This window comes from Homo sapiens, chromosome 6 (genome assembly GCF_000001405.40).
Source record: "Homo sapiens chromosome 6, GRCh38.p14 Primary Assembly".
NCBI lineage: Eukaryota > Metazoa > Chordata > Mammalia > Primates > Hominidae > Homo > Homo sapiens.
The window spans coordinates 46,268,145-46,283,572 of NC_000006.12; the positions used below are offsets into that span (position 1 = coordinate 46,268,145).

The following is a 15,428-nucleotide window of genomic DNA, read 5'->3' on the forward strand; positions in this document are numbered from 1 at the left end:
AACACCATTTTATTCACTTCATTAACGGCACAAATTTTTACTCGCTTCATTAAACAATCATGTCTGTCTCATTTTTTTCCTCCTAAAATTCCTAAATGCATTTCTACTGGTGTTGAAGAGAGCAGACATAAGCCATTATCTCATTGGTAACTCCACAAAATTGAACTTCCAGGTTCCTAATTCTATCATTTGTGTTATTATAGCAAATGTGTTCTTTAATAAAGTCATTCATCATAGAACCCTCTGAGTTGGTGTCTCACTTTCAATGGATCGGGTTTTTCACCTGCTGTATAATGGTCATAACTGGATTTCTCTTCATCTAAATCTGGGGTTATTTCAGCTGTTTCATGTATCTCATATCTTCCTCTTTCTTGGAGTAACATTTTACATTGTGTGAGAAAACATCTTTGAGTAGGCCCTCTCCTCCCATGATAGTGACAGGTGATAAACATTTCAAGTCATTGACTGGCCAAATACGTGTGTATCACACTAGACTGATAGTTTGACTTAGAACATAATCCAGGTTAAGAATCACTTCAATTTTCCCCAGAATATGACTCCATTGTTTTTTAGCCAACTGTGTTATAGAAGACAAGTGAGATCCTGGCCTTGTTTTGTCTTTGGAAGCTTTACAGAATTTCCCTAATTTTGGAGTTCAGAACTTTTAGTAAAATGTGACTAGATGTGTGATTTTTTTCCCCATTATTTCTGGAAGGCAGGGGTCAGCAAACTAAGCCCAGTCTGGCCTGATGCTTATTTATGTTTAATAAGGTTTTGTAGGAAAACAGTCACGTATTGTGTTTTTGTTACATATTGAAGCTTTTGTGCTGCAATACAGTCAAGAAATATTACCTGCAAAACTTAAACTACTTACTATCTGGTTCTTCACAGAAAAAAATTTGCTGACTATTCCTATAGAGCATTCAGTGGGCTCTTATTGTGTCTTTGTTCATAGTTTCTTCACACTCATATTTAGATAATTTCTTCCTCTCCATTGCTTCTACTACCTTCCTTCAGCATTCCTAGTTGGATATAGAATTTCTTGCATCTATTATCTGTTTTTCTTTTCTTCCATATTTTCCATCTCTTTGTCTTTTGACTCTGTATTCTCAGAATTCCTTTCACATTATTTTTCAGATCATTAACTTATTCTTCAGTTAGGTCCATTCAACTCTTCTGCTAAATTTTCCAATAAATTTTGCCAGCACAGGGACGCTTATTTTGTTATATCTCTCTTTTTCACAGCAGCTGTGTTCTTGTGTTACAGCTGTCATAGCCTGTTAAATCTTTCTGCGAATATTAAATAGATCTCTTTTTTAAAAAAGATCTTGTCTACTTTCTGCATAGCTCTGAATACTCTAGGTCACCTGTGCTCTTGGTTTATCTCACTAGTTATGTATCTTGCTGTTGGTTCTTCTCAAGTGCGTGGAGATCCTTGGTCATGCATTCACAACATTAGAATGAAGCTAGTAAGTAAAGACGGCTGGAGGAGTGCCAGCTGCAGCTGTGCAGATACAGGCCTTTCTTGGATGGTAGGCTGAGGCCTGTGAGTGGAGGTTTTGTGTACAGGAGCTTCATTTAGGAGTGCTGTCAGGATCAACACCTGTGGAGACCTGAGGGACCCAGGATTGGGCAGAGGGAGGACTTGAACTCAATGCAGTCCCAACAAAGGTCTCTGCAGATTCAAGGTGGCAATGAGGGGAGGGGTACCCTTCACAGGCACCCCCAGTTCAGGATCTTATGTTCCCCTCTCCTCTCATGGAGCAGTCACAGGTCGAGAGCTATCCCTGGGGAGGGAGCATGGCCCTGGGAGGTGATGCCAGCTCTCCAAGGCTAAGGGCTATTCTCATGCAGGGACTCAGCTGAGAACATTCAGCTGTCCATAATTTAGAGGTAGCGAATGATTGCTGCGGGCCTGCTTGAGGATCTGGGCTGCTCATCACAGCTTCACTACACCCTGGATGGGAAGACTGGGGGCTTGGGCTTGTGGGTGGGAAGTGCTGACAGGCTTCAGGACACAGAAGCCAGGAGGAGTCAAGTGAGTATAGGGCCCCAGGACTAAGCCCACCAGAGTGGCTTTACTCTGGGGCAGGTAGAGCCTGCTGCAGGCAGAGGAGAGAAGCGCTGACTCTGAGGGCTGCAGGAGTGCCGGGACCTTGCTGAGGGGCAATGGGCCTCCGCACCATCTGGATGATTCTTTTAGGCCATTCGATGCTCCCACTTTGTGCCATGCTCACAGACCACCCTCTCATTGCTGATTCCTGTGGAGGGTTCCCCTCGGCTCTTCGAGGTTGCAGCTGGCATCGTGGAGAAGGTGGGCCCCAGAGTCAGACTGAGCTTCTCGTCAACCAGTGATGTGTATTTACTCGTTGTGTGTGATTGGCTGTCTTCTCAGATGGTTCCCAGTGATCCTCACATCCTGCTATTCATGCCCTTATGCAAGCCCCTCCCTTTGAATATGGGCTGGATGTAGGGATTTGCTTTAAATAATACAATCTGTCAAAAGTGGTGGGCTGTCACTTCTGAGAGGAATGCACACAAAAAAACTGTGACTCCTCGTTTTATTCTCTCTGGCTCCTCTCAATGGCCTCTTCTGATGAAGCAAGCTGCTGTGGTGTGAGTTGCCCTCTGGAGAACCCCACATGGCAAGGAACAGGGGGTGACCACCAGCCAACAACCAGAGAGGAACCGAGGCCCTCATCCAACAGCCTGTGAGGAGCTGAATCCTGCTAACAGCCACTGAGTGAGCTTACAAGTGCTTCCTTCCCCAGTCAAACCTTGAGATAAGACTGTAGCCACAGCCAGTTCTGTGATACATCCTTGTGAGAGTCCCTGAGCTAAAGACCCAATTAAGTCATGCCTGGATTCCTGATTCATACATACTGTGAGAGAATACACGTGTTGTTTTAATCCACTGAGTTTTGGGGCAATTTGCTACCTATTTGACAGAGTTTTCCAGAGAATCAGAACCAACAGGATGTGTATCTGTCTGCCTGCCTGCCTATCTCTCTATCTGTCTGTCCATCCATCTATTTAATGAGAGAAAGAGATTTATTCTAAGGAAGAGGCTCATGGGTTTATGGAGGCTTGACAGGGCTGAAATCTGCAAGGTAGGCCAACAGGCTGGAGAGGTAAGATGAGTTGCAGCTCCAGTCTAACGACAGTATAATGACAGACTTCTTAGTCACAGAGGTCAGTCTTTGTTCTATTAAGGCCTTCAACTGATTGGATGAAGCCCACACACGCTATGAAGGTTAAACTGCTTTACTCAGAGCCCACCAATTTAAATGTTAATCTCATCCAAAAAGCACCTTCACGGAAACATCCAAAACAATGTTTGATCAAACATCTGAGCACCGTGGCACTGCCAAGTTGACACATAATTAACCATCTCAGCTACCCAACCACAGACAACAAATCCACTGGTGAACTAAGGCCAGTACCTAATCCCACCACATTTCCATCCCTGCAGCTGTATAACAAAAATTTGAAGATTATCATAAAAATTAGATAACAGGATACTTGCAAAGCACTTGGCACATGGTGCTCAGTAAATGTTGGTTTCTTTCTCTTTTTTCTTGCTTCCTTTCCCTTACTCGTGGTAGTGGTAGTAGGGATAACCTGGATAATGTTCACGATTATTCTGGGAAGTAGAAAGAAGTACATCTCATGCTGAATTAACACATAATACTGTATTTTGTACACCAGTCTCTTTTAGGTTTAACTGTTTCCCCATCTCTGAAAAACTAGCCAGTGTCATGTGCACCACTATAATGAGCAGCCAAGTAGGTGACGAGACTCTGTGCTGTAGTAATTGGGCCAAGGTAAAGCCAGCCTTTAACACTGTTCAGATTTCAGATATAAGCTTTATATCACAAAACAATAACAGATATTATCACTTTTTAATTGTGAAGAAGTTAAGAACCTTGCCAAAAGCCACTCAGCTAGTGACAGTATAGCTGGGATTTTAACACCAATGTTTGTCTCTGAAGCTTGTGCCCTTTTCTATCAAATGCTTGCACAGTTCTGTCCATTGTTATACAAAATAGCCAATATTGCTAAAAAGATGAACATGGCAAAATATTATTATCTTAATGATCACCTAAAGCTTCAAAATGGAGTTAAATATGGGTTACACCCTTTACAAGGGCGTTCTACTTCTACCTGCCCCTCACCTTCAGCCGAGTGAAACCGATCACATCCTCCTTAGACTCTCTACTGAACCTTGTACATTCTGTCATCATAGAACCTGTAACAAGTTATTGTGCTTCTTTAAAGAGTCTACCCCTTGTGAAACTATTGCTGGCCTCTTGAAATAAGGGACAATGACTTAATCCTGTTAGGTGGTAGGTTTATAGAGGTTTATTTCATTATGCTTCACAACTCACATATATATAGATGCATAACTACTTTTATGTATATTAAATGTCACACAATACATAAAACAAAACAATTGGAAAAAGATACATCAAAATGTTAAAATGCTTTTCTGTTATAAAACTGTGTTAACATTCTTTGTCTTTTTGGTCATACTCTTTAATTTTTCTGTAAACATGTAATGTTTAATTGGAAAAAACAAATGTTAAAAATAGGACTTTTTTGAATTAAGATAATAATTTTCAGTCTGTATCACTCCTAGAAGAAACTGATTTCGTAAGTTCATTTTATATTCAACAGATACTTTGTTGTAAAAGTATAGACTCTTTCCTTTTTCATTTGGTCCTCAGTTTGTCTTTTGCAAGTTTTAAATGGAGGTTCCAAGATGTTATGAATAAGTTCCATGTTCACCGTATCTAAGCCCCTCTAAGCGTCTTTCATTGTAGCTGTTTTGCTTAGAGTTTAAAGGTGTCTGATCTTTACAAATATTCTTCAATATTTTACCTGTCCTGCCTTATATAAGCCTTCATGGACCTTAGCTATGTCTGTGTTTGTTTTTGTTTTAAGGAATGGTACCCAAAGCTGTGGTATTTTGAATTTCAGGAGTTGCGGTTCCAACATCTTGGAAGTGGGCAGCTCACGCTCACACTATTTTCTCTAGTGCCCTTCCTGATGGACCAACATGGTTCTTTTTGGCCAGCAGGGAAATTGGGTTAACAGACTTTCTGACATTTAGTCTTGCTTCCACTAAAGATGAGGGCACAGAATTCACAATTTCTCTGCTCTCTCTGTTTCATCCATGAAAACATGTTTTGTATACTACTAATTATGATAACATTAACATTATGGTGTTTGCGTAGCACTTCAGGGTTTAAAAGTTGCTTTCACATGTGTTGTCTACCTTTGATATTGATTATATCATTGATGTTCATAACCCTCTGAGGTACACAGAGGAAACATTACTATTACCACTTTTCAGATGAAGAAAATATGACTTAAGGAGCTTAAGTGATTTTCCTTTGCTGAAGTTAATCTCGTCATTCTAGTTGGAATAACTAAAAGTTATGACCATAGCTCCTTTATCACATGAGAAAAAAATCTTGTGCAGCATTGTAAAAATGCATAAATAATAAACATGAACAGATAAAAATAGAATTATAAATATCTCAGGACCATTAGGTATTTTCTCTTTATATAATGCAGAAGAGATTAATCAACATTGATTTGGCTGAATGGCTGTGTCCATCTATGGCATGGGCATTTTCTCTAAATGAAAATGTAGCTGTTGAGCTAATCATGATCATTTCCTTTTTAGAGAGCTGTAAGAGTGTGGCAGATTCTTTTTTTTTTAAATCATGAGTTGTGTGTTTCTTTTGTGAACAAGCCTAATCCTTGCATTTTGTTCTTAGGGCAAAGTTGGCCTGTAGTCGTCTCTATGAAAGGCTGGGTACATAAGATGCTGAGAAAGATGATGAGGAGTCAGCTGAATGGAGCACAGCATGGAGGTTTACTATGGATCACACAGCAAGCAAAATTTGGACTCTGATTATTTTATCTTTTACTTTCCAGCAGCATTTTGGCTGCCTTCCTGTTTGTGGTTCACATATTAACACAAAGCTTACTTAAGACAAGAAGGTATTCAACCTGCAAACCTTTGATAAGGGGAAAGTGTTTGCTCGAGAACTTCTGTTTTTGGAATGCTGTTTGCATTTGCAGAGGAATATATTAATTGATGGTTTCTTTCACTGAATCCCATTACTCTATTCAGGTAGCTATATATAGGTCATCTACTGCCTCAACTGTGGAAGCAGAAAACAAAAGGTCAGATTCTTGGCCTTGGGTTCAAAAGCTAAGGTACAGCTGCTAGCACAAAATATTTGGAGGTATATTTGCAGAAACAGTTGTTCCATCAAAGAGAAGATAAAAATTCTCTGGACTAGGGAAAAGTAGGAGAGTTAGAGAAGGGAGCAATAAGGTTGTATGCTGATGTAGGTCTCTGAGTATGGGCTCTGCATCCCCCCGCCCCATCTTGGTCACAACCTTCAAAGGGTGGTAAAATTCTGGGATCCAAGTGAGTTGAGAAATCTGAAACAGACAGCACCTGTGCCTCACCACCTGGAGAGGGAGGAGTGACCAGGAAAGCAGCCAGCCTCCAGAATCCCTCTCCCATGTCCTATGTTAACAGTAGAGCAGACATGGTTGTGTGGACATCTAGGCAGAGAGGTCCCGAGACAGCCCCAGTGGATTTCCCATAGTTCTAGAGTGTAATGGAAGAACCACCAAGTACTTTCTGAATTTTTCCAAGAGGGGTACAGAGGTAGGCTGAGAGAGCAGGATACCCAAGGAGACCCTTTGGCCAGGACAAGGAAGATGGAGGGTAACCACGTGGCCTCTTAACAGGGGAGCAAATGGAAACATGGGCACTTCCTGCCATGAGGAATATATGCAGATGACTGGAACCAGCAGGCTGAGAATATAGTGGCGGATACTGATTGGCTAAATTTAAACAAGGTCACTGTCACTCTTAACAACCATATCTCAACATTTTGACAATGTATAAGGGTTTCATTTTATTTATTATTTATTTTTCGAGACAGGTCTCACTCTGTTGCCCAGGCTGGAGTACAGTGGTGCAATCATCACCTTTTTTTTTTTTCCACAGTTGATCAGGAATCATGTGTAAGTGTTTTAAATTCAGCATCTGTTTGGGAGTGGTCTGAATTGACTGAGAAAACCCTGAGGTGGCTAAGATTATATTCTTATGATCAGCAGACTAGGGTTTTACAGTAGATATTATTTTTGCTACAAAAAATAAAGGGTATTATTGCTTTTGTTTCCCTGAGCCAATTGCCTTTGAAGTCTGTAGCCTCTATGCCCCACTAAAGCTCATGATGAGAATGCAATCACAATGCAAAACAGTTGGTGAGTTTGCCAACACTGGACTTGGCTCCACCATCTTCTCTCAAATAGAGACCTCCTCTAAGCCACTCAGATGGCACCCAAAGTCATTGTTCTTTTAATGGTTGGACACTAAAAATCATAAAATCTTTTTTGTTGGCTTGGTATAAGCATCACCTAGTTTTTTATTCTTGAGAAAGAAAAGCTATTTGATTGTCAGAGGCTAGTGATGACAAAGTGCTTGTAGCACGGCCACAGAGCTAAGACCTTTATTTTGCTACACAGCTATTGAGACACAGGCTCTTCTCCACTATTCCGTCTTAGAGCTTGGTTAATTTCTCATGCTCTATCAGTGCAAATGCCACATAAAAATTATCAGATGCGACCAGAAAGTTTCTTAAAGTATGGAAGATGTTCCACAAATGCAACAACAGTAAAGGAACATCCACTATGAGGTCATCACCATTTTAGTGAGGTGGGTTCTTTTCCCAAATGAAGAATATTTGGGCTAGGCGTGGTGGCTCACACCTGTAATCCCAGCACTTTGGGAGGCCAAGGGGGGTGGATCACGATGTCAGGAGTTCGAGACCAGCTTGGCCAATATGGTGAAACCCCATCTCTACTAAAACTACAAAAATTAGCCAGGCATGGTGGTGTGCACCTGTAGTGCCAGCTACTCGGGAGGCTGAAGCAGAAGAATCACTTGAACCTAGGAGGTGGAGGTTGCATTGAGCTGAGTAAGCCAAGATTGTGCCACTGCACTCCAGCCTGAGTGACAGAGTGAGACTCTGTCTAAAAACAAAACAAAACAAAAACCAACTATGCAGGGTTGGTGTGTAGAATTCTAGTGGATATTATTACATCATGAGAGGTTTCCTCGGAATATCTGCCTTCAATTATGGGCATCAGCAGCAGTGCCCATCATAGAGTATACTTTGCCACGACACAAGCTCTGAGGAGAGACAAGCCCCCACCACAAGAAACAGCAACTGTGTCCAGGAGTATGTAAGGTATGGCCACAACTAGGAGCTCTGTGGTCCTATGATTTAAATATCCCACCATCAAAAGAGGCATCCATGAGACCTGTCAATCTGCACTGGCCAAAACATAAAGAACGTGTTTAAACTCTAATCTAGTCACCATCAAACTGTCCCTGTTTCAGATCTGAAGGGTTATACACAGTCTTTCCCACAAAATGCTACTTTGGGGAATATTTTAAATACAAAAACCTGTCTGTATTTGAAAGAAGCTGTCCCATAAGCTCGTACATAAGGACTTTAAACTGCAGTCACACTTTTTCAACACTCAAGCATGGGAGTTGAAATTGCTCTGAAAGCTCTCTGGACTGCATTAAATCATCCTCTTGGCCATGTATCAGCTACAGTTTATTTCCTCTTGATGGAGCCTTTGCTTCCCAGATAGGTTGAACAGAGCAGCAAACATGTATGTCATTTTGTGAGCTAGACAGGGCTAGAGGTGAGTGGCAGCCTCCAAACAGATGCCTGGGTTGACTTCCCCTGAAACTAGGTGTGAGTTTTATTAAGTTCTTAAGCAGATACCATCAGTACTATCCGGCCTTTATGTGGAAATGGAAGACAAATGCATGCTGGCAATGCAGCCTCTGCCTGCAAGGGCAAGAATAAAACATTGTTTTGTTCTATCAAAAAAGTAATTTAGAATGGTGGTTGAGGAAAAAAGAAACAGCAAAACTGTCCCCTTTGATTGTCTGTTCTCAAGTCTTTCATTGTTTCATTTGTGGAACGTGTTGGTTTTCTATTTGTACATCCATCTCTGTTCTATCACAAATGGGCTCAGATTTCCACATGGCTATTTACCTGATCTTGTTAATTTTCCTATTAGGAAGCCCAGTGATCTGGGTAAAATACCATTCTTGGTAAAAATTATTTTCTCATAGGAGGAGAAATGGCTTTTTCTATAGGTAGATGACTATAGAACTAAATATTCAAACTAAGACACATTTCAGTGTAAAAGAAGGTGTTGATAATTATGGTAGGAGGACTAGTACCCAGAAGAACTGTCCTGGGCCAGTTGGGGTGGGTGGTTGCCCTATCAATGGATCATGAAGAACAATGTAAAAATAAATCACTTTCTTCGAAGTAGACAATAAATTTTGTGCCCATAAACATTCATTGACTTCACTTTTTAAAACTTTTTTTTTTTATAGAAAGTAGGTTTTAATTTTACTTAATTTTTTTTGGTCTATAAAGAAGGAACAGTTCCTGCACCCCCTTTCACCACCTAAATATTTTTTATTTATGCCAGAGGGAGGCATAGATGGGGCAGGGTGTGGGTGGTCATGGGGAAGGGAGTGCTTTAAAGGGTTTTACTCAATTGAATATTTAATCTATTTCTGTCTTCTTCAGTAGCTACTCCTCCCATGCCCTCACCCCACCTTATGATAAAAGGATCTAAAAAGAGGGAAACTGCATTCTCCGAGACAAAGTACTAAAAGTAGCTGTAGCTCTTCAGGTCACTATTCTGACTTAGATGAACCTGACTTGACATTAGATGTTTAAAGACGGAGGCGCTTTAAGAGGTAACTTAGCTCTATCAGAAAACCTGTTTAGGGGAATCTCCTAGCTTGAAAGTCACAATTAATTTTCCCTCATTATAAAATAATAATAATTACCTGATAATCTTCAGGATACCTCTTGCCCATTTCTATCCATTCCCTCTTCTTTGAACAAAAGATGTCACCTAAGACATCCATGAAATGCAGACAAGTATCTTAGCCCCCAAAAGGACTCTGGAGACAGGAATTCTTTTATTACCATTTAAAGTAATTTACTTTAACTTTGTATTTTGATATAATTTCAAGATTTAGAGAAAAGTGGCAAAAATAGAGTAATACAAAGAATTCCTATATACCCTTCATCCAGATTCCCCAATATGCATATCTTACGACATTTTCTTTATCCTTTTGTCCCACCCATCCTTTACACACACACACACATACACACAAAAAAAACCCACACACTTTATTCCTGAATCATTTGAGAAAAGTTTCAGATCTATGCCCTTTTACCTCTAAAATGTTTTATATATTTACTAAAATCAAGGACATTCTCTTCTATAACTGCTGTACAATTATCAAACCAGGAAGTTAACACTGATACAATATTATAATCTATAAACCACTTTCCATTATGGCCAATTGTCCCATTAGTGTTCCTTTATAACACAAGAAAATCACACATAATGTATTGAACAATTATCATCTCTCTTTAGTCTCGTTTCATCTGGAACATTCCTCACTCTTTGACATTGACATCTTTGTATTGTACAGGCCAGGTATTTTGTACAATGTCCCTTAATTTGGATTTGTTTGCTGTTTCCTCATGATTAGATTCGGGCAATACATCTCTGGAACCCTGTTGCAAATATTTTAAAATTCCATGTACTGGATGCTCATTTTCTTATCAACTCATCCCTAAAGCTGCTGTTTCATCCAAATTCTACTCCTTAACTGCACACCTTGATCTAATATAGTCAGAGACTCTCAATCTTGGCTATGCGTTGGAACCACCTAGGCCATACCAGACAAGTTAACCAGAATCTCTTGGGTTGAAACCTGAGCAATGGTATGTTAAAAAGCTTCCCAAATGATTCTAATATGTAGCCAGGGGTTAGTTGGTTTGTTCTTACCCTTGAATAGGTACTAAATTTTTTTGGTGTAATGTGAGAATTCACATAGTTTGAAGACCTTCCCATTCTATCCATCTTGATTAAACTTGATTAATAAAAGCCAAAGTCTTGCTTGCCAGCAAGAAGAGCTGTTGATTCTCACTGTACCCCATATCCTGACAGTTTCAATTCCTCATAACCTGATGGACATTTGTGGGTACATTAGCAACCAGGCAATACCAAGAGTGCCCAATTGTCTCCTTCTTTTGAGATACACTAGCAGAATAGTCTTGCTCTCGAGAGGTTTGCTTTAACCTTGGCACTATTGACATTTGGGTCCAGATAATTCTTTGTTACAGTGAACTGTCCTGTGCATTGTAGGATGTTTGGTGAGAGCCCTGGCCTCTATCCACTAAATGCCAGTAGCATCCCCCTAATTGTGACAACGTGTTTGCAGATACTCTCAAATGTCTCCTGGGAAGGGAGGAATTGCTCCCTGTTGAGAAGCACTGCTCTGTACATTCCTGCCTCCGGATCTTTGATCAAAGTATTCTTCACACCCATCTCCATTTGTCAGTTGAATCGGGGGAAGTATGGTATATATGTGGCTATAAACATTGGCTTGGTTATCAGACCATACTGGGTTCAACTTTTTGATCTGCCACTTACTGTAGGAGAGCCTTGCTCAAGTAATTCTGCCCTTGTAACTGTCAGTCTTGTCATCTGCAAAATAGGAATAATAAGAACAGCTCCTTCATAGGATTGTTATGAGAATTTAATGAGATAATGCACAAGATGTGTCTGATGAATAGTAACTCCCCAAAAAAGGGTTGCTGAATGAGCTAGTGCATATAAAGTGATGAGTTAGTGTTTGGCACATGATAACTCAGTAGCTGTGAGTGGTTGTTGTTATCATCCTTATTAATGATGAAACTATGGCACAGAGTGATTCAGAGTCTTGGTCAAGATCACAGAGCAAGTTAATGGTAGAACTAGGAACAGAATCCATGCCTTAGTACTCCTAGTAAAATGCTGCCTACCCCACACAAAGCTTGAAATACCAAGGACAATTCCAGGAAAGATGAAACTCTTGACCAAGTTAGCTCTGAGCAGTGCCATAATATCCCAGGCTTGGCAGTAAAAGTGAGGTGATTAATCATTTTGAATTGGAGAAGTCAGAACTAAGGCCATTCAAGGGAGCATTTAAAGGTATAGAATCTCTTACCATCTCCTGAAAATATTTTTTTTAAAAATGAGAACAGAAAAGTATTAGGAATACTTTAATCTGTTGTAGCCAGGAATTGGCACACCAGAACATTGAACCTTTGCAAGATGTCAACCCTTAACGGTTAAAAGGATCTTTGCTGAAAACTTAGGTGAACATAGTAAGGATGAACACTCAGATTAGAAGACCACACACACACACACACACAAAAGCACACACAGCAAGGCAAATTAAACTCCCAGGAGTACATAGCAGGCACCTCCAGATACCCAATAACCATGTTATAACGTAAATAACTAAGAGGGCTTTCTCTCCCTATAAAGCTGTATTTTAAAGGGGATTCTGCTGGTTCCAATGAAGCCTTGGAGAATACTGCCAAGATGCTGTAGCTTTTTATGAAATATCAGGGTAGAGAAGTTCATTCATCATAACCAGTGGGCCAGAAGCCTGTGCCATCCATTCCTTCTCCTCTTCAATAAAGAAGTTGGGTATTAATTAAACTGAAGGAGTCTTAGTAGAGTGGTTAGTGAGATGTCTCAGGGAGGTATGTGGACACACATGCATGTGCATACATGTGGGGCATGTGTGTAGGGGTGTGTGTGTGTATGTGTGGCTATTTTACTGAGGAACAGAGATGTCATCTTTTCCCTAAATCAATCATTTCCAAAGGCAATGTTAAAAATATTATCAATCAGTACAGTTCTAGAGTACGCATTAGCCATACCCCTATGGCAGAGGCCAATGCTGTGCTAGGTGTTACTTCTTTAGTTGTTGGTTGGTCAGGAGGTTCCTGGAGAAAGGGTCAGGCAGCTGAGGTTTGGGGTAGAGTGAGGGAGGGGGAGAAGAAAAGTCAGAGACACCAGGCCACAGCTACCTAGGAATGGCAGTAGGGAATTAGCTTGACATTTCAACAGGCATGCGCTGACTAATAACAGCCCTGGACATATGTCCAGTTTATGGCATCTGCCTTTATTATAGGGGTTTGCAAGACCAGCTGTCACGAGCAGAATTTCTCAAACTGTGTCTACAATTGGTCTGTGCATGAAAATACCTTGGTTTGCTCATCAGAACCACAGATTCCTGGAGTTGCCATCTGGGAATGAATGTTTTAAACAAGTTTCCCAAGTGACAATTAAGCAGCTATGGGTTTCAATCCACTCTTCAAAAAGTGTATTCAAACAATAAGAAGCTACTTGTGGTTAAGAAAGCAGGCATGACTTTAAAACAAGTGAAAAGGGAGATTTGAATTATTTAATCAGAGAAAAGGAAGGCTCACCAGTGATGTAGCAGCTTTCAAACAGTATCAATTAGCCTATAGAAAATGGGTTCCTCTGTGCTCCAGAGAGAGCTTGAAAAAGAGAACTGAGCTAAACATTTTTCTCTTATTTTGTTATTTTTCTTTTTATTAGTGATTCCAATTTATTAATAATCAGAGATGCCATATGTTGAACAGTTACTATATGTTGGGCATTGTTCCAAAGATATTATAAGGCCTGATCTTTTTGATTTTATTAACAGACCTAAGGAAATATTAGTGCCCCCATTTTACAGATAATGAAACTAAGGCTTATAAGTGGCTAGGTAATTACTTTATCCAAGGTCACACAGTTAATAAGTAGCAGTTTTTCTCTAGCATCCATTAACCACTGTGCAAATCTGCCTCCCATTATCATCATTAATGGTAACTTTCTTTCACTGAGTACCACCTATACTGGAAGCACTATAAAGTCAGGGACACTTTCTGTCTTGTTCATTCCTATTTGCCCAGGGCCTAGCAAAGTCCTAAACTGCCCAATTAAAATGTTTTAATTGCATAGAAGAGAAAGTTGAATGACACATATTTTAGAACAACTACTTCGCATTTCCCCTAATAAGCATATATTATCCAAAACAGACCACTCAAATATCCAACATACAACTTGTGTTACTGCTCTATTATTGTGGTTACTGATACCTCAAAAATAGGTCACACTGGGCTGGGCACGGTGGCTCACACCTGTAATCCCAGCACTTTGGGAGGCCAAGGCAGGCAGATCACGAGATCGGGAGATCGAGACCATCCTGGCTAACACGGTGAAACCTCATCTCTACTAAAAAAAAAAAACAAAAAATTAGCCGGCTGTGGTGGCTGGTGCCAAGATCGTGCCACTGCACTCCAGCCTGGGTGACAGAGCAAGACTCTGTCTCAAAACAAACAAACAAACAAACAAACAAACAAAAGGTCACACTGGTCAAGAGAAAATGATGCTGTCTTAATCCTTAAATTTCTCTGAAAAGATGACCCTCTATCTTCATCTACTGAATATGTTTGTGTTCATTTCTAAATCGCACTGTGAAACCAAAGCCTGTTTTTGGACCACTGATCTAGAGCTTAGGAGGAGACGTTCATCTTTATGATTCAATGATGGCCCCATAAGTAATCTTATACTTGAAGTTATTGATGGCCAAAGTGTACAGATCAATTTGGCAGAGAACTGCTTTCAGGTCCTTCCTGGCTTTCAATGCAAATAGTTTTACACCTTTCCAAAAAGCCAATTCCAGAGGCAAAGGCAGGGTTCTGGCCCCAAGTCAAATCTGCCTTTTCCTCTAAATAATAAACGTACAACATAAAACCTCAGCATTCCAGAGTTAGGGTTATCTATTCTAAACTTTCATTCCAGAAGTAAGAAATCTTAAGCCCAGAGCACAGGTGATGCTCAAAATATTTGGAAATCTTTCTGCATGGAAACTGCCTGACCGGGGGCTGGCAGGGAGGCAATAAGCCTTTACTGACTGAATGATGGAGAAATCCAGGGAATCTCAGGAAAGGGGCTGAGTGACCAAGGCAGCACTGCAGGGCCCCTGGGTAAAGGATATTTACCAATATAAACATATTCAATCCAGGCGTGGTGGCTCACACCTGTAATCCCAGTACTTTGGGAAGCTGAGGTAGGAGGATCATTTGAGCCCAGGAGTTCAAAACCAGCTTGAGCAACATAGCAAGACCCTACCTATTAAAACAACATTAGTTGGGCATGGTGGTACACAGCTGTAGTCCCAGCTACTCAGGAGGCTGAGGTGGGAGAATCACTTGAGCCCAGGAGATCGAGGTTGCAGTGGGCTGTGATTGTACCACTATACTCTAGCCTGGGCAGCAAAGACCCTGTCTCTCTCTAATTAAGAAAAAAAATCCAACCATATTTCAAGAATCTGGTACACACATACCAATGTAAACTAATATTAGCCAGGGCCCAGAGGAAAAGTGACTTATACCCAGGAAGTCAGTGGCAAGGACAAGAACTCT

At 40.6% G+C, this 15,428-nt stretch overlaps 1 protein-coding gene and 1 long non-coding RNA gene across 6 annotated transcripts in view; one reads left to right on the forward strand and one right to left on the reverse strand.

The window, feature by feature from the left end:
• Positions 1–15,428, reverse strand: part of RCAN2 (regulator of calcineurin 2) — a 271,235-nt gene that overhangs the window by 47,409 nt on the left and 208,398 nt on the right. The window lies entirely within an intron of this gene.
• LOC101926915 (uncharacterized) overlaps positions 8,180–15,428 on the forward strand; it is an 89,185-nt gene continuing 81,936 nt past the window's right edge. The window contains exon 1 of the long non-coding RNA NR_125838.1: positions 8,180–8,285. This is a non-coding gene — a long non-coding RNA (uncharacterized LOC101926915). The remainder of the gene's footprint in view (positions 8,286–15,428) is intronic.